The sequence below is a fragment of the Homo sapiens genome, chromosome 1, assembly GCF_000001405.40.
Source record: "Homo sapiens chromosome 1, GRCh38.p14 Primary Assembly".
Classification (NCBI taxonomy): domain Eukaryota; kingdom Metazoa; phylum Chordata; class Mammalia; order Primates; family Hominidae; genus Homo; species Homo sapiens.
Genome location: NC_000001.11, coordinates 29,245,901 through 29,272,763, shown reverse-complemented (window position 1 = coordinate 29,272,763; position 26,863 = coordinate 29,245,901). Strand labels below are relative to the sequence as shown.

At 49.5% G+C, this 26,863-nt stretch overlaps 1 protein-coding gene across 4 annotated transcripts in view, besides 4 other annotated features; it reads right to left on the bottom strand.

The window, feature by feature from the left end:
• PTPRU (protein tyrosine phosphatase receptor type U) overlaps positions 1-26,863 on the bottom strand; it is a 90,279-nt gene that overhangs the window by 54,037 nt on the left and 9,379 nt on the right. For all 4 annotated transcript variants that reach the window (NM_005704.5, NM_133177.4, NM_133178.4 and 1 more), the window contains exons 2-7: positions 17,358-17,489; positions 13,988-14,259; positions 13,422-13,503; positions 13,200-13,315; positions 12,720-12,894; positions 11,861-12,154 (exon numbers count right to left, since the gene is read on the bottom strand). In NM_005704.5, coding sequence (NP_005695.3) covers positions 11,861-12,154; positions 12,720-12,894; positions 13,200-13,315; positions 13,422-13,503; positions 13,988-14,259; positions 17,358-17,489 — 1,071 coding nt within the window. The remainder of the gene's footprint in view (positions 1-11,860; positions 12,155-12,719; positions 12,895-13,199; positions 13,316-13,421; positions 13,504-13,987; positions 14,260-17,357; positions 17,490-26,863) is intronic.
• Positions 17,470-17,988: an enhancer, noted in NCBI's record as "H3K27ac-H3K4me1 hESC enhancer chr1:29581288-29581806 (GRCh37/hg19 assembly coordinates)". NCBI's record gives its function as "activates a minimal SCP1, AML or CMV promoter by ChIP-STARR-seq in primed H9 embryonic stem cells {active_cell/tissue: H9 hESC(primed)}" and the evidence as "EXISTENCE:reporter gene assay evidence [ECO:0000049][PMID:30033119]".
• Positions 20,652-21,369: an enhancer, noted in NCBI's record as "H3K27ac-H3K4me1 hESC enhancer chr1:29577907-29578624 (GRCh37/hg19 assembly coordinates)". NCBI's record gives its function as "activates a minimal SCP1, AML or CMV promoter by ChIP-STARR-seq in naive H9 embryonic stem cells {active_cell/tissue: H9 hESC(naive)}" and the evidence as "EXISTENCE:reporter gene assay evidence [ECO:0000049][PMID:30033119]".
• Positions 22,154-22,819: an enhancer, noted in NCBI's record as "H3K27ac-H3K4me1 hESC enhancer chr1:29576457-29577122 (GRCh37/hg19 assembly coordinates)". NCBI's record gives its function as "activates a minimal SCP1, AML or CMV promoter by ChIP-STARR-seq in primed H9 embryonic stem cells {active_cell/tissue: H9 hESC(primed)}" and the evidence as "EXISTENCE:reporter gene assay evidence [ECO:0000049][PMID:30033119]".
• Positions 22,820-23,485: an enhancer, noted in NCBI's record as "H3K27ac-H3K4me1 hESC enhancer chr1:29575791-29576456 (GRCh37/hg19 assembly coordinates)". NCBI's record gives its function as "activates a minimal SCP1, AML or CMV promoter by ChIP-STARR-seq in primed H9 embryonic stem cells {active_cell/tissue: H9 hESC(primed)}" and the evidence as "EXISTENCE:reporter gene assay evidence [ECO:0000049][PMID:30033119]".

The following is a 26,863-nucleotide window of genomic DNA, read 5'->3' as shown; positions in this document are numbered from 1 at the left end:
AGCTAATTTTTGTATTTTTTGTAGAGACAGGGTCTTGCTGTGTTGCCCAGGCTCATCTCAAACTCCTGGGCTCAACTGATCCTCCTGCCTCTACCTCCCAAAGTACTGGGATTACAGGCTTGAGCCACCGCACCCAGCCCCTAGTGGCATTTTTTATGTGATTAATTTGTTCAGAATTCCCCTTATGAAGAAGATGCAAAGGAAAGCATTCGCCCAGGCTGCTCCTATCTTGGGAGTGCACCAGTAACACAGTTTTCAACACTGGCCCCATGTACAGCACAATACAAGATTCTGTTTCCACCCAGAAGGTTTCCTTTCTTCCCTGGAATGCAGGCAAGCAGCATGTCTCCAGTTATACATGGAGCCATCGAAGAGAGATTTCAGCACTCACTAGGAACAAAGCCTGCCTCCTGACTGGCTCCCTTCTCCCCACAAGCAGGGACCACCCAAATCCCATCCCATATGGACACTGAGGGGCTGGCTGCCACTGCTCCCTGTATCCTGGGTACTGTGGGCTGCAAGCCCATTCACCACACTTAGGTTTTCTCTCCCATTCCTGGCCCATAGAGATTTTTCTAATTTTTTTAATGTAGTTTTGTTTTAAGCCATCATTCTTCTATGTTTGCGCCAGAGGAGGCAGATCTGGGGTGTGCTCACTTGCCATCTTTCCCAGAGGTCCTCGCGTTATTCTTCAACTCTCTGGCTGTGGTCCTGGCTGCCCTGTGTGCACTGTCCTGGGAGTCTACAAGAGCCGAGGTGGCTGCCCTGTGTGCACTGTCCTGGGAGTCTACAAGAGCCGAGGTACCACTGCTTTATTTGCACTACTGGGAGTGGCTCTCTGTTCCCTGCAGCTCAGCTCACACCATCCCCACCCCCTGGAATGCTGCCCTGCATTCCTTTCCAGCCTCTAGGGCTTGGCAGAAGCATTCTGCTTCCTAGTCCTCCTGCAGCATTTACAGAAGGGCAGGAGAAGTTCCATGTAAACGGGGGACGTATGCTGGGTAAAGACCACGGCAAACAGGACAGTAGTGTCCCATCCAAAAGGGGCAGCTACTGCTCACCTCTAGATGACTGTTGCCAGGCAGGACTACAGGTTCAGAGTTGCCAGATCCTCCCATTTTTCAAGAGGAGCCAGAAATTCCAATTTTTATGTGAAATCTCCAGATTTTTAAATACTGGCAACCTACTCAAGCTTCTTCAAATCACCTTACAGGGCCCAAGATAGCAACTTTGGAGGATGAAACTCCCAACTTCAGACTTAGGCATCTCATTCTTTGACAACTGTGCCACCTCCCATCCACCCAGGTAGACTGAGAGCTCTTTGAAAAGAAGGTCCACTTTTCTTTTTTCTTCCTGCCTACCCTGATCATATCTGGACAGATCCAGGGAGCTCAAATAGTTTGTTGACTACAGACTGATATGTTGATTGAGGGGTGTGAATCCATGAGTTTCTCCACGTTTCTAAAAACCATCTGGCACCCAGACACACTCTCTTCAACTGTCAACACACGCTGACAAAACAGAACTTGGGGACCTCAAAGCCCCATCCCTCTAAATTACACAGGGCTACAGGTCACTCCGAGATCAGAGGTCAAAATGCACATTAAAACAATGAGGATAACATTTAACAGCTGTTGAATTAGGCCACCATGTGTTGACTTTAGTAAGGCTAAACAAGATGCAATAACCCTGAAATGTTCAACTTTTTCTCATGGGAGGAGCTTTGGACTGGGATCTGGTACACCCAAGTTCACATCCTATCTCCACCTCTCATTAGTTCTTTTTTTTCTTTGTTTGTTTGTGTTTGTTTTTTTGAGACACAGTCTCACTGTCACCCAGGCTGGAGTGCAGTGGTGCTATCATTGGCTCACTGCAGTCTCAATCCTCCCACCTCACCTTCCTGAGTAGCTGGGACCACAGGCATGTGCCACCATGCACCTGGTTAATTTGTTTTGTGTTTTTTGTAGAGACAGGGTTTCACCATGTTGCCCCAGTCTGGTCTCAATCTCCTGAGCTGAAGTGATCCACCTGCCTCAGCCTCCCAAAGTTCTGGGATTACAGGCATGAGCCACTGCACCTGGCCATAGTTCTGTGGCTTCAGGCAAGTTACTTAACCCCCTTTGAATGTTGATGTCAGGTTCCTCCACTAAAAAATGGAGATTATGGCTGGGTGCAGTAGCTCATGCCTGTAATCTCAGCATTTTGGGAAGCCAAGGCAGGATCGCTCAGGGGTTCGAGACCTTCATGGGCAACATAGTAGTGAGACCTCATCTCTACAAAAATATAAAAATTAGCCAGGCATGGTGGTGCGCGCCTGTAGTCCCAGCTACTTGGGAGGCTGAGGTGGGTGAATAGCTTCAGCCCGGGAGGTAGAGGAAGCGGTGAGCCAAGATCATGCCACTGCACTCCAGCCTGGGTGACAGAGTGAGGCTCTGTCAAAAAAAGAAACAAAAACAAACAAATGGAGATTATGATGCCTACTTTAAAGAGCAAATGTGAGAGTTACATGAGATAATATGAGTCAAATTGCCCAGCCTACAGTCATTACCAGCCTACAGTCATTACCAGTCTATAGTAATTAATAAACATGTGTGCATTAACATGAGATGCCAGTAGCAGTATAAATTGGCACAACCATTTTTTAAAGCAATATATTTAAAAGCCCTTTCTTCAACCACTCCTGACACTTTATCCTAAAGAAATAACTCAGGGTGGGGGGAGAAGGGAAGAACTACAAGCGCTAGGTTTCTCAATATAGTATTATTTATCATTATAGAAGTCTGGAGGCAAACAGTCCAGCTAAATGGGGACATTCAATGGACTTCTAGAGTCAGTAAACATAATTATAAACAACATAACACACGTAACAACACCAAGCAAATGAAGCAGCATACGAAATGCTTTCTACATCCCAATGCAAGGGTGTAAAAATGTCTACTGCAGGCATATGGGCAGAGATGTGAAGAAGTCAGAAAAATTAAAACAGCTGTTGGGCTAGGATGATGAGCTTCGGAGTGCTTATTTTAAAAAATGCCTTCGCCTGATGCTATATTATTGTTTTTACAGTAAATAATATAGTGCGAGGGGAGTTTCATGGGGATGGAGGAGATGACAACACAGCTGGCCAACAGCAAAACAACTGCCGGCCAACGCGCCTAAGCAGGGAGGGGCCATGATGTCAACAAAGAGAACCGTGTAATTCAGAAGGGCAGGGGGAGGTGTTTGCACCCTGTCTGCCAGGCCCCTGCCCCAGCTTCCGTCCTGGCCAGCCTATGAAAACTGTTTCACAGTGCCCAGCACAAAGTGGGCATTCAGCCCATGATGGTGGCAGCAGCAGCTGCTGCTGCTGCTGTTAAAAACACTGGATTAGGCTGGATGCACTGGCTCCTGTCTGTAATCCCAGCACTTTGGGAGGCTGAAACAGGAGGATCCCTTGAAGCCAGGAGTTTAAGATCAGCCTGAGCAACAGAGTGAAACCCTGTCTCTACAAAAAAAAAAAAAAAAAAAAAAAAAAAAATATATATATATATATATATATATATATGTATATAAATTAGCTGGGCATGGTGGTGCAAGCCTGTAGCCCCAGCTGCTTAGGAGGCTGAAGCAAGAGGATCACTTGAGCCCAGGAGTTCAAGGCTGCACGCAGTGAGCTATGATCGTGCCACTGCACTCCAGCCCAGGTGACAGAGTGAGACCCTGTCTCTAAAAACAAAATAAAACAAAAAACTAAAACAAAACACTGGATGAGAAATCAAGAGATTCAAATTTTGATTCAAGCTCTGCCATGGACTCACTGTGTAGATTTGTACAAGTGGCTAAATCTCTAAATCTGAGTTTATTCATCTGTAAAATGGGAATAATCAACAGCCGTCATCATGAAACCTGGGTTCTTGACCCACTGTCTGATCACAGCCAAGTCTCTTCCCCTCTCTGGGTTTCAGCTTCCCCATCTGTACACTAAGGGGAGTGCAATAGAGATCCTCTGCGGAACCCTGTGCTATGATTCCTTTTATCCTAAGTGGCAAACCAGAACTGCCTTTGAAAGATTAAAAACACCATCATTTACTGGGTGCTTACTGTGTGTTAAGCGCTATACTTCACATGCATTTAATGCATTTCCCTGCAATTGTCTGCATTTAACCCAAAACACTGGAGGCTCCAAGGTTCAGGCTTTCCAACTCCTCTTTCTTCCATCTACATTTATTCCCTAAAAATCTAAGGACTGAATCGGGGATTCTCAACCTCAGCACTATGAACATTTTAGACTAGATAATTCTTTCTTATGTGGCTGTCTGTGCATTGTAGGATGTTTAGCAGCTTCCCTGGCCTCTATCCCTTTAGATGCCAGTAACACCCCATTGCCGCCACCCAGTTGTGACAACGGTTATGTCCTCAGTCACTGTCAAATGTCTCCTAGGAGACAAAATTGCCCCTAGTTGAGAACCATTAGCGTAAAAGATCTCATCCAACCTCAGGGCTTTAAATGCCATCTATACCATCTCCACACTGATGACTTTCAAATTTCTATCTGCAGCCCGAACCCCTTCCCTGAACTCCACACTCATGTATCCATCTGCTGATGAATATCTCCACTTGAATGTCTAATAGGGATCTCGAAGTCAACATTTCCAACACAGAACTCCTGATCTATGACACCCACGTCAAATCAGCTGCCACCACAGTCCGCTCCAGGAAATGACAGCTCCATCATTCCTGCTGCTCTAGCAAAACACCTTGGAGCCATCCTTGACTTCTATTTCCCTTTCTCTCATCCCATATTCAATCCATCAGCAAATGCAGTTAGCTCTGCCTTTAAAATAAACCCAGAATCTGACCACTTCTCCCCACCACCACCACTTCCACTCGGCTCCCAGCCATCACCACCTCTTAAGCAGATCATTGCAGTAGCCTCCTCCCTGGTCTCTGCGGCACCTTTGCCCTCCTGGAGAACATTCTCCACAAAAGGGCCAGAGTGATCCTTTTAAACAAAAGTAGATGATGCTCACTCCTGCTCTCTAAACTCTTCAGTGGCTCCCCAGCTCTCTCTGTGTACAACGGCTCTAAGTCCCACATCTGCAGCTCAACTTCAGCCTCTTCTCCTGCCATCTCCCACTCAGTCACTAACACAGTGACACTGGTCTCCTGGATGCCCCTTGCACGTGCCAAGCATTCTCCAGCCTCCAGGCCTTTGTGCTGGCTGCTCAGTCGGGCTGGTGCTTGCTTCCCCCAGCAAGCCCCCAGCTCTCTGCACGGCTCAGTCCCTCACCTCCTTCAGATCTCTGCTCAAATGTCACCTTCCCTTGAGACTTTTAAAAATAACAACCCTCCAGGCCCCACTCCCTGCTTTTCTTCTTCACGGCACTTATCACCATCTGACAGGCCATAAAGTCCTCCCTCGGTATATGCCAGGGATTGGTTCTAGGACCCCTACATATAACCGAATTCACACATATTCAAGTCCCATAGTTGGCCCTTCATATATACAGGCCCTAGAAACACTGGAGTTTTTTGTATTGCTGGTTTGTTTGTCTCTAGATAAGATCTTGATCTGTCATCCAGGCTGGAGTGCAGTGTGAAATCTTAGCTCACTGCAGCCTTGATCTCCTGGGCTCCAGCAATCCTCCTGCCTCAGCCTCCTGAATAGCTGTGACTACAGGCACATGCCACCACATTCAGCTAATTATTGTTGCTGTTGTGTTGTAGAGACAGGGTTTTGCTATGTTGTCCAGGCTGGTCTCAAACTCCTTGCCTCAAGCATTCCTCCCATCTCAGCCTCCCAAAGCACTGGGATAAAAGGTATAACCCACCATGCCCAGCCCGCAAATACCGTATTTTTGATGCACGTGTGAGTGAAAAAAAAATCTATGTAAGTGGATCTGCCCAATTCAAACCTGTGATGTTCAAAGGCCAACTGTATACTTCACTTGTTTACTCATCTATTATCTATCTCCTCTTGCCAAAATGTGAGTTCCAGGAAGAACTCACATGTTGGTGGCCTTTGTCTGTCCTGGTTATAGTCATATATCCCTACCAACCACAATAGCACCTCGCACGTAATAGACACTCAATAAGCATTCGTTGAATAAATCTTCAAACTAACCCTATATGGTAAATGTTATTATTCCCATGTTGTAAAACAGGGGGACTGAAGCTCAGAAAGGTTAAGTAACCTGACCCAGACCCCTTCACTAGAAAGCAATTCCCACTGGAACATTCTGACCCACCACTCAAGGGTCTCCCAAAGTGTGACATTAAACCAGATTTTAGACCTACCATCCAAGGAGTTCCCAAAGTGTGGCTTTAAACTGGATTTTAGATAATTCACAGATTGGCTTTTTAAAACACTTACGAATATTGATTAGCAACAAATAACATTGACCTAAACCTCACACTTTACCCAAAATAGATCATAAACTTAAATGTAAAATGTAAAACTATAACACTTTTAGAAAAAAAACAGGAGGCCAGGCGCGGTGGCTCATGCCTGTAATCCCAGCACTTTGGGAGGCCGGATCACCTAAGGTCAGGAGTTCAAGACCAGCCTGACCAACCACCTCTACTAAAAATACAAAATTAGCCAGGCATGGTGGTATATGCCTGTAATCCCAGCTACTCAGGAGGCTGAAGCAGGAGAATCACTTGAGCCCAGGAGGCAGAGATTGTGGTAAGCTGAGATCATGCCATTGCACTCCAGCCTGGGCAACAAGAGTGAAACTCCGTATCAAAAAAAAAAAAAAAAAAAAAAAAAAACCCAGGAGAAAATCTTTGGGAGACAGGGATAGGCAAGGAGTTCTTAGACTTGATACCAAAACCACAATTCATAAAAGGGAAATTTTACAAATTGAACCTCATCAAAATTGAAAATAGTTCTGTGAAAGTCCATATAAAGAGGGTGAAAGGACAAGCTACTGGGAGGAAATATTTACAAACTCCACATTTAACAAAGGACTGGTACCTAGAATGTACAAAAAACTCTCAATACTTAACAACAACAACAACAACAAAAAGAATAATCCAATTAGAAAATGTTCAAAGACATGAACAGATGATGCACCAAAGAGGATATACAGATGGCAAACAGCACATGAAAAGATGTTTGTCCAGGTGCCGTGGCTCATGTTTGTAATCCCAGCATTTTGGGAGGCTGAGGCGGGCAGAACACTTGAGGTCAGGAGTTCAAGACCAGCCTGGCCAACATGCTGAAACCCCATCTGTCCTAAAAATACAAAAATTAGCCAGGCGTGGTGGTGTGTGCCTGTAATCCCAGCTACTCGGGAGGCTGAGGCACAAGAATTGCTTGTACCTGGGAGGTGGAGGTTGCAGTGAGCTGAGATCATGCTGCTGCACTCCAGCCTGGGCAACAGAGTGAGATTCCATCTCAAAAAAAAAAGAGGAAAAGAAAAGATGTTCGACATCACTAGACACTGAAGAAATGCAAATTAAGACCATGATGAGATATCACTACACACCTCTCAGGAAGTCCAAAATAAAAAATAGTGACAACACTAAATGCTGGCAAGGATGCAGAAAACTGGATCACTCATACGTTGTTGGTGAGAGTATAAAACAACACAGCCACTCTGGCAGTTTCTGATAAAACTAAACATGCAATCACCATATGACTCATTGATTGTACTCTTGAGCATTTATCCCAGAAAAATGAAAAGTTATGTTCATGCAAAAACCTCTGTATGAATGCTCACAGAAGCTTTACTTGTAATAATGAAAAAGTGGAACCAGCCCAGATGTCATTCAACAGGTGAATGTTTAAACAAACTGGCATTTCCACAGCATGGAATAAAAAGTAATAAAAAGTAATAAAAAGGAATAAACTACTGATATACACAACTTGGATGAAGGAAACTATGCTGAATGAAAGAAACCAATTCCAGTGCCAAGATAATTCAATAAGAATAGACTTTTCAACAAATGGTAATAAAGATCTACATACAAAAGAACGAAGTTGGCCACGCATGCCTATAATCCTAGCACTTTGGGAGGCTGAGCCAGGTGGATCACCTGACATCAGGAGTTTGAGACCAGCCCGGCCAACATGGTGAAACCCTGTCTCTACCAAAAATATAAAAATTAGCTGGGCATGGTGGCACGCGCCTGTAATCCCAGCTACTCAGGAGGCTGAGGCATGAGAATCGCTTGAACCTGGGAGGCGGAGGTTGCAGTGAGCCGAGATTGCGCCATTGCACTCCAGCCTGGGCGACAAGGGTGAAACTCTGTCTCAAAAAAAAAAAAAAGAATGAGGTTGGATCCCTACCTCACACCACATTTGAAAAATTAACTCAAAGTGGATCAAAGACCTGAATGTAATAGCTGACACTATAAAACTATTAGAAAAAAACACAGGAGTAAATCTTCATGACTGTGGATTAGGCAATGGTTTCTTAGGGATGACATCAAAAGCACAAACAACAAAAGAAAAAAATAGATAAATTGAAAACTTTCGTGCTTCAAAAAAAAACTATCAAGAAAAAGAAAATATAATCCACAGAATGGGAGAAAGTATTTGCAAACATAAACATCTGATAAGCATCTAGTGTCCAGAATATATAAATACTCCTTTTTTTTTTTTGAGACAGAATCTCAGTCTGTCACCCAGGCTGGAGTGCAGTGGCACCATCTCAGCTCACTGCAACCTCCACCTCCCGGGTTCAAGCGATTCTTGTGCCTCAGCCTCCTGAGTAGCTGGGACAACAGCCCACCACCACACCTGGCTAATTTTTGTATTTTTGGTAGAGGCTGGGTTTCATCATGTTAGCTAGGCTGGTCTCAAACTCCTGGCCTCAAATGATCTGCCCTCCTCGGCCCCCCAAAGTGCTGGGATTACAGGCATGAGCCACCACCATGCCCGGCCTACTCAGAATATATAAATAATCTTACAACTCAATAATAAAAAGACAAATAACCCAACTTAAAAATTGGTCATTTTTAACACTCTGAAGACATTTCTACAAAGAAGATATAGAAATGGTCAATAAGCACATGAAAAAATGCTCGATATATCATTAGCCATCAGGGTAATGCAAATCAAAATCACAATGAGATACCATTTCATATATACTAGAGTGCTTATAAGAAGACAGATAATAACAAGTGGTGACAAGGATGCAGAGAAACTAGAACCCTCATAGACAAGTAGTGGAAATTTAAAGTGGTACAGCTGCTTTGGAAAACAGTCCAGCAGTTCCTCAATGAATAAACACAGAGATATCTTATGATATATATGGTACATAAGAAAAATGAAAACATATATCAATATAAAAACCTGTACACAAATATAGCAATACTGTTCATAATAGCTGAAAAGTGTAAACAACCCCAATTTCCATCAACTGATGAATGACAAATAAAATGTGATATATTTGTATAATGGAATATTATTAAGCAATAAAAAAGAATGGAGTATTGATACATGCTACAATGAGGATAAACCTTGAAAACATCATGTTAAATGGAAGAAGGGTCAGGTGCAGTGGCTCACGCCTGTAATCCCAGCACTTTGGGAGGCTAAGGCAGGCGGATCACCTCATGTCAGGAATTCGAGACCAGCCTGGCCAACATGGCCAAACCCCATCTCTACTAAAAATACGAAAATTAGCCAGGCATGGTGGTGGGTGCCTGTAGTCTCAGCTACTCAGGAGGCTGAGGCAGGAGAATCCCTTGATCCCAGGAGGTGGAGGTTGCAGTGAGCCGAGATCACGCCACTGCACTCCAGCCTGGCGACAGAGTGAAACTCCGTCTTAATAATAAATAAATAAATAAATAATAAAATAAATGGAAGAAGCCAGTCACAAAAGATTATATATTATATGATTCCATTTATGTGAAATGTCCACAGAGAGGCAAATCCATAGGGACAGAAAGGAAATTAGTGGTTGCCTAGGGCTAGAGGTGTGCGAGTGAAATGGGGATGACTGCTAAAGAGTACAAAATTTCCTTCTGAGGTGATGAAAATGTTCCAAAATTGATTAATGGTTAATGGTTGACTCAATTAATTAATTGAGTTAATGGTTGTGTAACTCTGTCAATACAGTAGTCCCCCCATATCTGCAGGGGACACATTCCAAGACCCCTAGTGGATGCCTTAAACCACAGAGAGTTCCGAACCCTAGATAAACTATGTTTTTCCTATACATACACACCTATGATAAAGTTTAATTTCTACATTAGGCACAGTAAGAGGCTCACAACAATAACTAATAATAAAATAGAACAATTACAACACCACACTATAATAAAAGTTATACAAATGTGGTCTGTCTCTCTCTCTCAAAATATCTTATTGTATTGTACTCACCTTTTCAAGCCTCAAGTTGACCACAGGTAACTAAAACCATAGAAGGAGAAACTTCAGATACACGGGGACTACCGTATACTAAAAACCACTGAACTGTACATTTTAAGGATTGAATTGTATGAGATGTGGATTATATTGCAATAAAGCTGTTATCCAAAAAAAGCCAATTCTAGAGGTTATATACTCTGATTTCATTCATATAATATTTTTGAAACAACAAAATTTTAGAAAGGACAGATCAGTGACTACCAAAAGTTGGGGAGTAGAGGAAGAAAGGGAGGTGAATGTGGTTATAAAAGAGTCCTTAAGGGGATTGAACTATTCAGTATTTTGACTGTAGTGGTGAATACACAAACCTACACATGTGATAAATTGTGCAGAACTACATACACATATACACACACACAAACAAGTACAAGCAAAACCAGAAAAGTCTGAATAAGATCTGTGGTTTGTATCAATGTGAATATCTTGACTGTGATATTATGCTATAGTTTTGCAACATGTTACCACTGCAGAAAATAGGGTGACTTGCACAGAGAATCTTTCTGTATTTTTTTTACAACTGCATGTGACTCTACATTTATCTTAGTAAGTCCATTAAAAAAACACACTAAGCCAGGCACGGTGGCTCACGCCTATAATCTTAGCACTTTGGAAGGCCGAGGCGGGTGGATCACCTGAGGTCAGGAGTTTGTGACCAGCCTGGCCAACCTGGTGAAACTCTGTCTCCAGTAAAAATACAAAAATTAGCCAGGCATGGTGGAGCATGCCTGTAATCCCAGCTACTCGGGAGGCTGAGGCAGGAGAAGAATCACTTGAACCCAGGAGGCGGAGGTTGCAGTGAACCAAGATCGCGCCACTGTGCTCCAGCCTGGGTGACAGAGCAAAACTCTGTCTCAAAAGGAAAAATAATAACAACAACAATACTAAAGTCACAAAAAGAAAAACCTATTGTGTTCTCAATTTCTCTTCTGATTAAACAAAAAAGACCCTCATCTGGCACAGGTGTACCATCCTCCAACAGCTGCTTTGCCCTTTTTAACAAGGAAGAGCAGACCTCAGGCTCAACACCCAGACAAGAGAAACCAGCTAGAATGTATAATATACTTGTATTTGATGGTATTTAGTTGCTTATTTTATCTAGATGTAGAATTAAGAACACAGATTCTGGAGTCAGCCAGTCAAGAGTTCCAATCCCATCTCTGCCACTTACTAGCTGTGTGCTCTTGGGCCAGTCACTTAACATCTCTGTACCTCAGTCACATCTAAAATGGGTACGACAAGAGCACCTACATCGTGGTAGTGTTGTAAGTTTTAAATCTATAAATATGGGTTTGTGTGTGTGTCTACACACAGATATGTTTAAGTGCCTGACACAAAGTAAAGTATTAGCTATCATTATCTTTACCATAACAAGGGTTGAGGAAAAATCACAATGTTTTAGAAAGGTTTACAAGCACAGGCCACGCTACCTCTCGAATGCGCCCCTCCATAGCCCTGGGCCCACCAGAGACTGAGGCCAGGGGTAGCTGCTGCACCCACCTGCGCATTTGGTGCGGCTGATGAGGGGTGGCCCAGGGCGGCCAGTGCCGCCGTCTCCGGGACGCGTGAGCAGCACGCTGATCTCATACTCTGTGTCGGGGTCGAGGTGCCACAGCTTGTAGGTCTGCAGGCTGACGGCGTGCACCTCAGCCCAGGGCCCGCGCGCCATGCGGTACTCAATCTCCTTGCGCACGATCGGCCCGTCGCCAATGATGGAGTTGGTGTTGAGCTGGATGATGAGGTAGGTGGGGCCAGCACGCAGCAGCTGTGGGGGCGCGATGGGAGTTGGGGGCTCTGCGAGGAGATGGGGGAGAGGCGAGGCGGACCGATGCTGCTGTGAGACCCCAGCACCCAACTCTGAGTTCCACCACACCCAAATCCCTCTCCGTCCTCCTAGGGCCTCTCACGCTGCTACCAAGCCCTCAACCAGACCCGCTCTCCTACCCCCACTAAATCCCGGGCCCTAAGGGGCACCTGGCTCCAAAGGCTGACCCCGCCCTCGCCCATCAGCCCACAACCCCTCTCTCAGGCCCCTCCTAATCCCCCACATCCTCGCCTCCTGGAGCGGACCGCAGGCCAGCTAGGATCAACACAGAAGTCACACAGCCAGAACCCCACCCCTCTTTAGGCTCTCACCTTGACCCTGTCCGTCCCCCTCGAAGCCAGCCCCGACCCCTAGATCAGATCTCATCCCGGCTGGGCCACTGCCATTTCCACAGGCCCATCTTCAGATAGCGCCCCAGCGACACCCTGCCGGCCCCACCCCCCACGGCCACGCCCCCGGGCAGAGCCCGCCCCCGTCGCCGGCCCCGCCCCTCGAGGGTGAGGTCCCGGCGCTCCCCGGCGTCCACCAGCTGACCCTTGACGATGAGCTCCGCGAAGTTAGAGACGCCCGCGCCGCGCGGGGCCTGGGACACACAGCGGTACAGGTCCTGCTCGGCGCGGCTCACGGCAGCCAGCGGGAAAGTGGCCAGGAAGCGCCGGTGGCTGATGTGCCGCACGCCCGCCGCCGGCACCAGCGCCCCGCTCTGCCGCTGCAGGGAAGAGAGTGAGGGGGTCAGGGGCGCCTCGGAGCGAGGGGTCCCGATCTCGCTCTGACCCGGGCCCCATTTAGCCGTCCCTACTACACCGCGCGGACATAGGTTCCTGGAGCCGCGCTCTAACCTGGGGGAATGGGGGACCCAAGAAAGCGCAGAGCAGAGCTAGGGGAGGGCCGGGACGCTGTGCGCAGTGCTGGAGTATGAAGCAGGGACTCAGCAATCTGGGGGGAGTCAGGGCCAGAAGCAGCCACCAACCCCCTCCCACCCCGCCCCCAGCCAAGATCACCGCTCCCGCTCACTTGCAAGAGGAAGCGTTCGGCCTCGGCCGCTCTGCCCGCGGCCATGCACTGGAACGACGCGTTCTGGCCCGCGTTGACCTCCACGTCGCCCAGGCGGGAGAAGTGTGGGGCCTTTGCTGCGGGGTTAGAGCTGCATCGTGAGCTGGGCCTGCACCCCCTGCAGGCAGGAGCCGCGGCCGCCCACACCCCTTACCCCTGCGCCCCCAGTGGGCTGGGACTCACCGCAGGGGTAGCTGAGAAGCAGGATGTCATCTAGGCCCATGTAGCCCCTGCGGTCTGGGGAGATGAGGGCCTCAAACAGCACCTGGGGGAGGCGGGAGGGCCCCTATCATACTGATATTCCTCCAGCCTTGCCTGGGGAGGTGCCCACTTTCAGCTCGGCCTCAGCCTCCTCTGCCTCAACTAGCAGAGGTCAGCCCAGCTCACACTGACCCTCCCTCCCAAGCCAGCTAGTTGGGGGTGGGGTCCCAGCGCCCATAGTGAACAAGGTGGAGGCCAGTTTCCACCCAAATCCTGGACAGTTACCCTCAAGCAGCCAGACAGAGTTTCCAGGTCAGCACTGTTCCAACTCACCCTTGACCTGGGCCAGAGGCTATTCCTAGGAACAATGACCTCAGATGCTGAACCCAGACTGGCCCCAGACTGACCCCTGGCCTTGACCACAGGTTGCCTCTGATACTGAATGCAGACACATTCTAACTTCAGCCACTCATCTACTCCAACCTCAATTTGACATCCATCTGCCCCACCTCCAGGCACAGGCTGACCGCTGACTGAACCCAGCCCACCTGATATTCATTGGGCCAGAAAGTGCTGACAGCCAGCTCAGCCTGGTGCCACTGACGGCCGTGGGATCCAGTCATATTCCACACAGCACTGCCCAGGGGGCCCCCATTAACGCGCACGTAGACGCCCAGGGTGCCCGGGCTGTGCCCGTCCCGGCTGTACAGGAAGTAGCTGAACTGCACACAGTGGGTATCATTCTCGCTCAGGCTCTGGAAGATGACATGGGCTCGCTGGCCTGGGGCATGCTGGGAAGTGTTGACCATCAAGTAGGAGCCTGGAAAGAGAGGAGGAAGAGGCAGGAGATGAGGAGACCTCAGGGGAGGGACAGGGCCAGGGCAAGGGGAGCACTGAGGAGGACTCCAGGCAACGGGACCCACCAGGAGTCAGGGATTCTGAGTTCTGGCCCCAGCTCCACCTCCCTGGGTGAGTCCCTTCACTTCCTAGCATCTGTTTCCCACAGGAGACCTGGAGCAGTAAAAAACACACAAACCTGACTTTGTCAAAACCATTTAAAGGCTGGGCGCGGTGGCTCACGCCTATAATCCCAACACTTTGAGAGGCTGAGGTGGGTGAATCACCTGAGGTCAGCAGTTCGAGACCAGCCTGACCAATATGGTAAAACCCTGTCTCTACTAAAAAAACAAAAATTAGCAGGGTGTGGTAGCATGTGCCTGTAGTCCCAGCTACTCGGGAGGCTGAAACAGGAGAATTGCTTGAACCTGGGAGGCAGAGGTTGCAGTGAGCCAAGATCACGCCACTGCACTCCAGCCTGGGTGACAGAGCAAGACTCGGTCTCAAAAAGAAAAAAAAAATTATGGCTCCTTACAATCTACAGGTCACAATGCCCATGCCCAGCCTAACCACAGCTTTCCCCATGTTCTGAGCTATCCCTGGAGACAGGGACTAGGTCATTCATCCCTGGAGTCAAGAGCTTGGCACACAACAGTCCCTCAAAGGCCACCCCTTCCAAAGCCCTCCCTCTGCCTCCCACCCTGGGCTTCTCTCCTGCCCCCTGGGTCATTACTAAAGTGCCTGTGTGTCTCCCACCAGGCTGTGAGGCCTCAGGACGCAAGCTGAATGAATATGTAGAACAGAGATTGAATGAAAGGATTCCAACTTCCCTTCCAGCCCCCATCCCTGAGTCTAAATTCCTGGAATACAAATCCCCTTGACTTCCAACCTGGAGAAAGGCAGCCTGTCCCTTCCCCAGAGACCCAGGCTGGGTACTGGTGGAGTAGAAGTGGACTAGGCTGGCTCAGGACCTGGCGGGGGGATTTGGGCTTCCCAAAGGGCACCCGAAACCACCCAGCGCTGCCTCCTCCCGGGCTTGGCTGCCAGCCAACACAAGCTCACTCAGATCCCCGCTCCAGGAGGGCTCCCCAGGGACTCTGCTGGAGGCGATCTCATTCATCTCTGTAAGCTAGAAGCCCTATGGAGGCGGCTCCTGGATCAGTCCCAGCAGGGCAGTAGTAAACTAAACTCAAGTCCCCATCCCCACCCAGGAAGGGGCACTTCTCAACCCCCAACACACTCCCTCTTGGCCCACTCATGCTACTTCTCTCTCCTCTCCCTGCGAGCAGCTGTGTGCATCTTTCTCCCTCTTCCAATCTGACACTTTGTTCTTTCCTCCTCCTCCTGCTCCCTCTGCCTCCTCCTCGGCTCACTACATCCCTCCCCTTCTCTTTCATTTACTCCCTTTGTCCCTGTCGCTCTTCCTTCTCCTCTCTCCATCTCTGAGTGTGAATCTCCCTCCTTTCTTCTCCCTCCACCACCAGCTCCCATTCCTAGAATGTGAGAACCAGGAGGACAAAGACTGTCCATCTGGCTCACCACCACATCCTCAAGACCTAGCACAAGGCTCACACTAATTGCTAAATTCCCCTCTCCCCTTTCTCACTGGGTATGTCTCTGCTTGCACGTGACAAGAGAGGCAGTGTGCACTCAGGGTGGTCAGTACTATAAGAGGTGAATTCCAATCAGCTGCCTTGTACCTGACTGCCAACCATGTATCAGACTGAGGCTGGGCCCTGGGAATATGGAGAGGCCCACACGAGGTCCCTGCCATGGTGGGTACCTTTACAGATTATTTTCAGAGAAGGCAAACTGTGATACCCACTAACACCTGCAGAGGCAGAGATAAGTGCCCCAGGAAGGGCACAGTGTGAGCAAATGCACAGAAGGGGAGGCGGGGCAAGCCATGAGAGTCCGCAGGAGGCGCCTGTGCCAGGTCATGAAGGTCTTCTCTCCTAGTGGCTTCAAGTCCTGGCCCCACCACTGAGAATCTTTGCTGCCCCTCCCTGACAACAGATGCAATCTCAGCCATGACGTGAGCTAGGCAGTAAACACCCTGGGCACTAGTGTGATGGGGCAAAGGGAGTGGGCTTCAGGCTGTGGAATTTCAGGATTCACTCGGAAAGCCCATTTGATTTGTCCTCTGACACAGCCCTTATCAGTAATAAAGTTGACAATTTGGCCTTTATTTGTCTCATTCTTTTTTAATTCCCAGTTGATCCTGCATCCAGTGAAGAGCAGTACTAGTAATCAGGGCCCCCAAAGACCCTCAACCATAGCAATTAAATAACTGACCCCTGCATGCCACCCCTGTGCTCTGTACTTTATATGCATCATCTCATGACCCTCTGAAATGGAGTCCTGTTTGCCTCATTTTACAGTGAAGACAATGGAGGCTCAGATACGTTAAGTGACACTGCTGGTAAAGTGACTGGAGACAGGGTTTGAGCCCAGGTCTTCGTGACTCTGGAATGAGTGTTCTAGGGGCCATGATGAAAGCAGGAAGTCAGTACTAGAATCCATATTATTAGTCTCCTGACTCCCAGTCCAGAGCTCAGGATGACAAAGGTGCCCCATCTTGAAATAGGAACACAGCAAGGTAGAAGTCGAGAAGAATCTGGGACTTCCAGGAGGAAGAGGGCAGAGGAAGGAAGGTTTTATACACATCTAGTCCCAGTGTTACTGCTCTTTCAGCATCTTCAAGTCCTGGAGAGACCAGGATTCAGGGGCTCTTTGGGAGAAAAGAATCTCTGAAGAGAGCCTCTCAAAGATGGAGGATTTAGGAAGAACTGAGAGTGGGAGTGGTTTGGATCCTGAGCTAGGCAGCAAGGGGAGTAATTGGAAGTGAGTTTTAGCTCACAGCCATGAGGGCCTGCACTCATTTTACACACGAAACTAGCTGACATGCACAATTAGACAGTGTCCAGAGAAAGCCACATTCAGTGTCACGTATGTCATTAAAGATGCAAATGTAGATGGGGCCCAGAGAGGTTAAGTAATGTGCCCAAGGTCACACAGCAGGTGGGTAGAAGTGCCTCTGGAAGGAGAAGAAGGGGTAATGGCGATGGAGAGTAGACTTACCGTGGGGCAGGTCCGCAGGTGCCCGGGTGCCAGGGTGGATTCGCACTTGCTCCCACTGGAAGTCATCGTACTGGGCCTGGCTGTACTCGCAGGGCACTGCTGGGTCACTTGCCTCCTCGAAGGTGCAGCCAGCTGTGAGAGCAGGGCCTGGTTAGCCCAGGCTAAGGCAGGGCTGCTGGCCAGGAGGGCTCCTGGAGGGTAGCCCCACTCTCCCTTCTACCCAGGCCCACCTGCCCTCCTCCCTCTCTTCAGGCCCTTCCCCACACTGCTCCCTCCCTCTAGTGAAATTCTCCCTCCTCCACCCTCTCCCTCTACCAAGGTCCCCTCCCAATACCAAGATGTCCCTACACTGCCAACTCCCCCAGTACTTCCCAGGACCCCCCAACCACCACTGGCTCAGTCATCCATCAAAGACCCTCCTCAAAAACTAGTTATCAGGATTGCTATATTATTGGAACTTCACAACAACCCATAAGATCAGGAATAGAATCATCTCCACTTTGTGGATAAGGAAACTGAGACCCCAAAAGGCTGAGTGACTTCATTAGGGTCACGCAGGTCACTGGTGATGGAGGTGGGGTTTGAACTGAGATCTCCGGATTGTTACTCAGTGTTCTGTCACCTGCCCCTCTATCTTCCCATAGAGGACAGACAGTGGGCCCTGGGCCTGGCAGGACCATGCATGCCATAATCCAGCCCAATGAGATCTCCTTTAAAAACAACAGTTGCCGCCAATCCACTCAAGCCGGGCACAATGCTAAATGGCGTAAGTACAGAGCCTCGTTCAGGCCACGCGTTCTGAGTCAGGCACCACTATTTTTCCTACTTGACAGATGTCAATGGAATTCAGTCATTGCCCAAAGTCGGCCAAATTAGGTCTCTGCCTGCAGGAATGTGACATGCAAAAGCACAGTCATGTGTGGACTAGGCACATGTATGACTGACTAGATGAAGCAACTTCCCATGATTTGCAACCAGTACTAACAGTTGAAATGAGAAAGAGGGGAGGAAGTGAGGATTGAAATACATGTGAGTCCTTTGGTTGGTAATGAGGTCCATATATCTTAGTGAGTTCATCAAAGGCCTGAGCTGGTTGCCTGATAAACCTGAGAACACTATTGGTTCAGAAAGGAATTGCAAGCTTCTCCCTGGCACTCACTCCCAAACCTTAGTGTTTGGAGCCCCATCAGGAGCCTGAGGCATCAGAAACCCAGGAAAATGCCCAAGCAAGTGGCGAGGAAGCAAGCGCAAACCATGCCAGACCCTGTCCTGGGTACCTGCCAGCCACTGGTACTCCTCCCGATTTGACAGATGATGTGACTGAGGATCTGAGGAGTGAAGGGATTTGTCCACAGCACCACGTGGTGGATCAATGAGTGGGCTTTGGCATCACAGACTTGGGATCAAATCTTGACTGCAATTTGCCAAACCTTGTGACCAGGGGCAGGTGGCTTCTCTTTCTGAGCCTCTGTTTCCCTATCTGCACATAGGCTTGTTGAGGATTTGATGTAGTAGCCCACTTAGCACAACGCCTAGCATACTTAAGCACTCAGGAAATAGCAGCTCTTATGTGTACCATGCAAGTCTACTAGGGAACAGAGGTGGGATTTGAATCCATGTGGGTCAGATGATGAAGTCCAAGCTTCCCACCAAAAGAGGTTTCGATACCAGAAGGAGCAGACCTGAGCTGCTTCCCAATCTCAAGAAGAAGAGGGAGAGGTATAGATAGTTGTGATATTTACATATATTTGGTTAGTGCAAAAGTAATTGCAGTTTTTGCCATTTTTTTAAAGTAATGGCAAAAACAGCAATTACTTTTGCACAACATAATACATATTTATTTATATATATAAAACCCTTTGTACAGTCTTATGTTATAATGTTGGACACTTTAGGCCTCAGAAACAGGCCTCAGGAAACAAAATTTCTCTCTGACCTATTCCTGTCCTCCTTTCACCTGTCCAAGGCAGGGCTCTAATCTAATCATGGGTCATTCCAGAGAGGGTCCTGCCCCATACCCTAGAGGAAGGAATGCCACGGAAAGGCCAAGTAAAGTCTAAGCAGACAGGCCTTGCTGGGTTTAGATCAGGTGTTTTATGTGCAATCACATTTGTCCATCATGCTTATGTAAGGAAACCTCCGTAAATACCCAAAAGGACAGGGTTCGGAGAGCTTCCAGACAGCTGAACACATGGAGCTTCTTGGAGGATGGTGGGTCCAGAAAGGGCAAGGAAGCTCCATGTCCCTTCTCCCATACCTCACCCTATGCATCTCTTCATCTGTATCCTTTGCAATATCCTTTATAATTAACCAGTTAATGTGTTTCCCTGAGTTCTGTGAGCTGCTCCAGCAAATTAATCAAACTCAAAGAGGGGGTCGTGGGAACCCCAACCTGCAGCGGGTCGGCCAGAAGTTCTGGAGGCCCAGACTTGCGACTGGTGTCTGGAGGAGGAGGCAGTCATGGGGACTGAGCCCTCAACCCATGGGATCTGACTCTTGTGCTAGAACTGAATTGGAGGACACCCACCTGGTGTCTGCTACAGAATTAATTGCTTGCTTGGTGGTGGGGAGAAGCCCCCACACATTTGGTCACAGAGGCCTCCTGTGTTGATGACTGCTGCTGTGGTGGTGGGAGGGCAGAGGAAAAACACCGTTTGAGAGAGCTTTTCCCAAACAACAGCACCTGGGGAGTGAGTGCTATGTCACAGGCCCAGTGCTAGGCATCTTCACACGCAGCAAGCGACTTCACTTTTAGGAGGCTCTACTGTTTCATCTGCAGCTGCAACTCCTCTAGGCGGTGATGCGGATGATGTGAAGTAGCACATGAAAAACACACCCAGGCCAGGCGCGGTGGCTCACACCTGTAATCCCAACACTTTGGGAGGCCGAGGCAGGCAGATCGCCTGAGGTCAGGAGTTCAAGACCAGCCTGGCCAACATGATGAAACCCCATCTCTACTAAAAATTAAAAAATTAGCTGGGTGTGGTGGCGCATGCCTATAGTCCCAGCTACTTGGGAGGCAGAAATAGAAGAATCACTTGAACCCAGCAGGCAGAGGTTGCAGTGAGCTGAGATGGTACCCCTGCACTCCAGCCAGGGTGACAGAGTGTGACTCTGTCTCAAAAAAAAAAAAAAGAAAGAAAAAAGAAAAACACACCCAGAAGAGCCAGGCACAAAGGGGCTCCTCACTGCTGGGGGCTCCCGGTCTTCTCCTGAAATGGTGAGATGTGGGTGTGAGGATGGCACCAAGCAGTTGGGATGAAGTAACAGAAGACTCTTTCCAGAGCTGAGGCAGGACCTTGGCTGAGCTCTTTGGCTCTTTGTTTGAAAATCCCTGGTCAGCATCATACCCTATTGCCTGTAGGAGGTGGGTATTAACCCCATCTGTACCTGGAGGGCCTCAGCTTCCCCTGTAGAAAAAGACCCACAGTGCAGCAGAGAGAAAGAACATGGCAAGTACAGAGAGAGAGCATGGTGGTCAGGGAGGACTTCCTGGAGGAGGAGGCCAGCTGACTTCAGCTTGAGCTGGGCCTGCCCTAAGGCTCTTAGCCAAGGCCTCCTTGAGGTAGAGGGGTTGCCAGAAAGGGAAGCCCAGGATCTAAAGCCCTGGATGGGGTTCAGGCCTTTCCTGTTCCTTCACAAGTAACAAAGCCGCTGCCCTGATGTCTCACTCACCACCCTGGGGAGAGCCTGGGAGTGCCAGCCCCTTGGCTTCCTCTTGTTCATCCTGAGCCAGGCCACACGAACGGCCAGGACTCCCAGACTGACTAACCTGGTCAGAGTGACACCCAGACCACCTGACCTCAGTCACAGGAGCCCCCAGATAGACTGACAACAGTCCTATGATCCCCAGCCAGACTGATCCAAGTTGGTGACCCCCAAATAGGCCGACCTCAGCCAGCCTGGCTCCCAGCTGACTGTCCCTGTTGAAAGTGGCCTCTGCCTCATACAGATGACCCCCAGACTATCTCACTTCGGCCAGAATAACCATCAGACTGACTGACCCCAGACCTGCACACCCCAGCCACAGTGACCCCTGACCTCTGCCAAATGACCCCTACAACTGACCCCGGCCAAGGTGACCTCCAAGGAGTCACTCTGGATGGGCTGACTGACTGACCGCATCCAGAGTGATTCCTTTTTTTTTTTTCTTTTGAGATAGAGTCTCATTCTGTTGCCCAGGCTGAAGTGCAGTAGCATGATCTCGCTCACTGCAACCTCCAGCTCCCAGGTTCAAGCTATTCTCGTGCCTCAGCCTGCAAAGTAGCTGGAATTATAGGCACGTGCCACCATACCCAGCTTGTTTTTGTATTTTTAGTAGAGATGGGGATGTCACCATGCTGGCCAGGCTGGTCTCAAACTTCTGGCCTCAAGTGGTGCCTCCACCTTGGCCTCCCAAAGTGCTGGGATTACAGGCATGAGCCACTGTACCCAGCCTCAGAGTGATTCCTTAACCAGATTCACTCCCTCTCCCTGACCCATGTCCGTCTCTAGACCTGTGTCTCTGGGCCAGACCCAGTTCTAGCTCCAGCTCATAGTGGGTAACATCTCTGGGGACAGGCTCCCTAAGGAGAGCCCCACCCTCACCCCTTCCCCTGGTCCCTTGAGATGGGAATGGTCAGCTAGGAGCCAAAAGCCCCAAAGCCAAGTCCCAGCTCTGCTAGAGACTCAACTCCTGCTGGAGGCCACTAAATCCGACTTTGAGTTCAGAGCAAGAATGGTAGCAAGGAATCCTTCTTGACTCCATCAACACAGACATGGGCACAGACATGCACATATACACATCAATACCTCTATGAAGGGGCTGTGAATTACCACCATGACCACCTGAGCCGGTGAATCCTCAGCAACTCAGAAGGTAGGTAGTATTATTTTTGTCTTATTGTTAGTTTATTAGGTACTATTATTATTCCTAATTTACAGATTAAAACAGGCTCAGAGAGATACAGCTGCTTACTCAAGGCCATGCAGCTACAATGTGCAGAAGCTCAGACTTAAACCTCCTATCTTTATTCCAGGAGACTGGGCACAAACAAAACAAAGCCTGCCCTTCTGCTGGCCATAAGTGTTAATTCAGCTTCATTCACAGGGGATTTTTCCCTGCCAGTACAAAGCAGGTCCCAGGCTGGCACTATTAGAGGTACAAGGATGATGAAGACTCTGCCCTGCCCTCAGGGACCTCCTAGTCCCAGTGAGGGTGAGGAAGAGGGAATGAGGGAATAAGGGAAGAGTCAAGGCCACAAGAGGGGGTCCAGGGGAGGGGGCCAGGTAGAGGGGAAAGGCCTCCTGGAAGAGGCGGCATCTAAGCAGAGCCAAGAAGGATAGGTAGAGATGGGTGGAAGGATTTGTGGCAAAAGACCCAGGGGAGCAAAGCAAGGTGGTCAATAAACACAGTTTGTCCAGGGCACAGAAAGGAGCCCAGGTTGGCTAAAGCCATGGGAGCTATGACTGGAGGGAAGGGAGGTTGAGGCCAATCATGGAGGACCCTGAACGCCAGGGTGAGGAGCTGGGCCTCATTTTGAATTGAGAAGCCACAGTAGGTGTTTGAGTAGGAAAGTTTATCTCATCCTGGATTCAGATGAGATAAATGATATATCCTATAAGCCATGAGTAGGGCAGGTGGTGTCTCCAGAGAGCACAGCAGGATCCAGAGGGATCTTGGGACCAAGCCACCAAGGGGTCCAGAGTCAGATGTCAGAAACTGGTGAGGACAGGGGCCTCAAGTCCCCTTCCAGGATGTAAACGGCACACCCTCCAATCACACTCAGAGAGGTGCACAGCACACAACACACATATGCCCTGAGCCCCGCGCTCAGTGTTCACACACACTCCCTTTCTGCAGCCTGGGCCAAGCCTGGGGATGCAGCCTCAGACTGGGAACAGGGAGAATGCCTGCCCTTGGGCACCCCATCTCTACAGAGGCCTCCCTGAGAGGGTGAATTGAATCAACCCAAGACCCCCAAGGGCTCCCCCAGCCTCAGTTCAAACTGGCCCAGCTACATTCCTCAGCTAATCTCCCCAGTCTGGCAGGCGGTTGCCTGAGCAACCGTCAGCCACAATTTGGGAAGGCAGGGGGATGGTTTAGCCACATCCGGCTGGGCTCAGGATGGGGTGATGTAAGGGGCAGAGCTGCCTCTGGAGGAGTGTGGGAGGGGTCTCCCTGGTGGGAGGGGCTCCACACCTCCCCATGCATGTGTCCACATGCAGGTGTGCGTGTGAGTGTGTGCAGGTGTGCGTGTGTGTGTGTGCACACGTGCACTCATGGCTCTAAGATGACAGGACAGCCTGGTACTGAGTTTCAAGTATTCAAATGGGAGGCGGAAGACCGGGATCTTTTTCCCACTGAGCCTCTAAGTCCCTTTGTGACTTTGGGCAGGTGACTTGCCCTCTCTGAATCCTTACCTCCTCACCTGTAAAATGAGAGTGGGGACCGCTAAGGTCAGATGACCGGTTGCAGTTGCGTGAGTGTGCACGTGAGCAAGAGTCATCTTGGGGCAGAGGTGCATGAGGGTGGGCATGGGTGTCGGAAAGGGGAGGTCTCCCGGGCAGGCGCTGTGAAGCCGTGGGTGTATAGACGTGCATTTACAAGCAAAGGTACAGGGCATATTTAGTGGTAAGCCTGCACCTAAGGGGGAGGTGGGTGTGTGCAGTAAGGTAGATGGGAGTTGTGCATACGTGTATGTGTCAGTGTGAACACAAGCACTGTGCACCAGACTTTCCTCACACCAGACAGGGAACAGCACTCCATGCCCAATGCGGCTGCAGCTGCAACCAGTATTTTCTGAAGACACCTGGCAAACAGAGCCTGTTTGCAATGAGACTTTTCTGCCCTTTGGTTTGTCAATAGAACATCCAATTCCCAAGAGTGGTCCCAGGAGAAGCAAAACTTTTCCCAACAGGTTGCACATTTAGGGGCTGGGATTTCACCCAAGCCCAGGTACATGCCCAGTTGTGGGTGGGGGAATTCAAATACAACCCCAACAACAATACTGGACTATTTCATCATCCAAGGTTGTACCCCTATTCTCAGCAGCCCAGCCCAAGCCTGGAACCAACACTGGACTCACCCCTGACTTTCTTGCCTAACCCAGCCCCATCCTGGGTTCTCCACCCCAGCTACAGCTCCATCTCAGGCCTGTCTAATCCCTACCTCCTCCCTGCCTGAGGTCAAGGACCACGTCTCATGCATTTGAACCCCATCCCAAGCCCTGTGTATAGCCAACAGTGCCTGGACTTATTGACCCCATGATCCCAGCTAGTCTGACCCTCACCAACCACACCCAGCTCTAGGACCATGACTCCAGCCCAGAGGCCCGGCCCAGCCCACCTTGCTACTCTCCTTGCCCAAGTCAACTCATCTAGACCTAAGCTGAGGCTCCCAGAGCTGCCCGAAGAGCCCTGACAAACTGATGGGTCATTAATTGTAGTCAGGGCTGGGAGCAGTATGCCCATTTTCTAATCACCCAGGAGTCACCATAGCTGCAACCAGAAAGATCGCCCAGGGCTGGGCCACAGGGAAAGTTGAGCTAGCACCACCCACAGAGCCAACACACAGCCTGACAATGCCAACATCTTGCCATCTCCACGGAGAATGGAAGGAAACCAAGTACAGCAGGGGACCTTATGCCAGGCCCACTCCCCATCTCCCTGATCAATATGTGCTGCAAATCCCAGAGTTAGCAGTAGAGCTGCCACACTGGCAGTATGAGGGGAAGGCACAGGCCAGGGCTGGATGCCAGACAGAGGAAAAGGGCCGAATGGAGGACTATGTTGTGCAGTGGTGCAGTGGTGCAAAGAGTTCACAGATCTGCCCCACAGACACCCTGCGACATACGAAGACAGAGTATAGAGTAGAGGGGCATGGGGCTGTGCACAAACCCGAGCAGTGTGACGATCTGTACTTCATAAAGGTCCATGGAGAGAGGCCTCTGCTGTGCCACAGTGCAGTGTGTGGAGGGTGCAGTACAGCAGCTTTGCAGTGTAGAGACAGAATACTGTTATACAATGCAGGGAGCAGAGCCCACAGTGTGCACAGGCCTCATTACAGACATCTGGTACAGCATGGCAGAACTGGCCAGGGCCATGATGCACCATGGAAGTGCCACATCCATCATGGGCATGACCCAGAGCTGCACAAGGCACACCGCGCCACTGCAGTGCATTTAGTGGTACACTGGGCTGGCACCCAGTGCTACGTGATAGGTGTATGGAGGAATGCCAAGATGGTAAGTTTAAGCCTTACTAGTTCAAGCTTCATGCATTCTCAGGGGAAGGGTGTGTGCCCTGCATAGACATGCAGCACAGGCACACAGAACAACAGAGAGATAAGGGGATGGGAAAGGGGCAGTGAGTGAAGAAGAAACTGCAGGGTGCGGCAACCCAGCCTAGCATATAAGCCCAATAAATACAGTCCTGAGGAACAGAGTATGTGCAGACTCGAGGCATGGGTAGGAAGTGGCACAAAATGGAGTACAATTAAGATGCTGTGTGGAGCTGGGCGCAGTAGCTCATGCCCGTAATCCCAGCACTTTGAGAGGCCGAGGCAGGTGGATCATTTGAGGTCAGAGGTTTGAGACCAGCCTGGCCAACATGGTGAAACCTCGTCTCCAGTAAAAATACAAAAATTAGCTGGGTTTGGTGGCACATGCCTGTAATCCCAGCTACTCAGGAGGCGGAGGCAGGAGAATCACTTGAACCCAGGGGGCGGAGGTGGCAGTGAGCCCAGACCGCTCCATTGCACTCCAGCCTGGCCAACAGAGTGAGATTCCATCTTAAAAAAAAAAAAATAGATGCTGTGTGGAACCAGTGGATTCAACGCAAGGGCTCTGGGTCCCGCAATCCGGTAGAGTGCACACAACCCAACAGTGAACAGGTTCGTTGCAGGGTAGAGGCCCTGGGCAGTAATCCTGTGCAGTGCACGAATGCAATGTCAGATACTGTGCAGTGGTGCTGCCTTTGCAAACCTAAGCCAGTCCTGAAGCCCAAGAAAGTGGTCCCAAGCTGTACTATAGATATAGACTCCCTGAGTCATGTGCAACGTGGGGCAGTGAGGACACTCAATGCAAAGATGTTGTTCACGTAGGGCTGACAACAAAAACCTGGAAAAGGACGCCAGCCTACAGATACCATGGTGGTAGGAGCGTGAAAGGCCAGGACACCATAGGGGCAGCGTTTCAGCAGCAGTGGTGCAGTGCAAGGGCTGGGCCATGAGGCACATATCCAGTGCAGCAAAGCAGTGCACATGCACAGAAGTGCTATATGGGGCAAAGTGCACTGTTGGTACAATGCAACTGTGGAATGCAGAGGGGCCATGCCCAGAAACTCAGGAAAAGTTCACAGTCCTGATGCAATACTGACGTCCATGCAATAGTGCAGTGCAGTACAGAGATGCTGTGTGATGCCAAGATGCAATGTTGTGGTAGCATGCCATCTGTTGGCACGGTGCAGTGCTGCAATGCGAGGAGCTATGCCCAAACCCCAAAAGAGTCCATGTGCCCAATGCAATG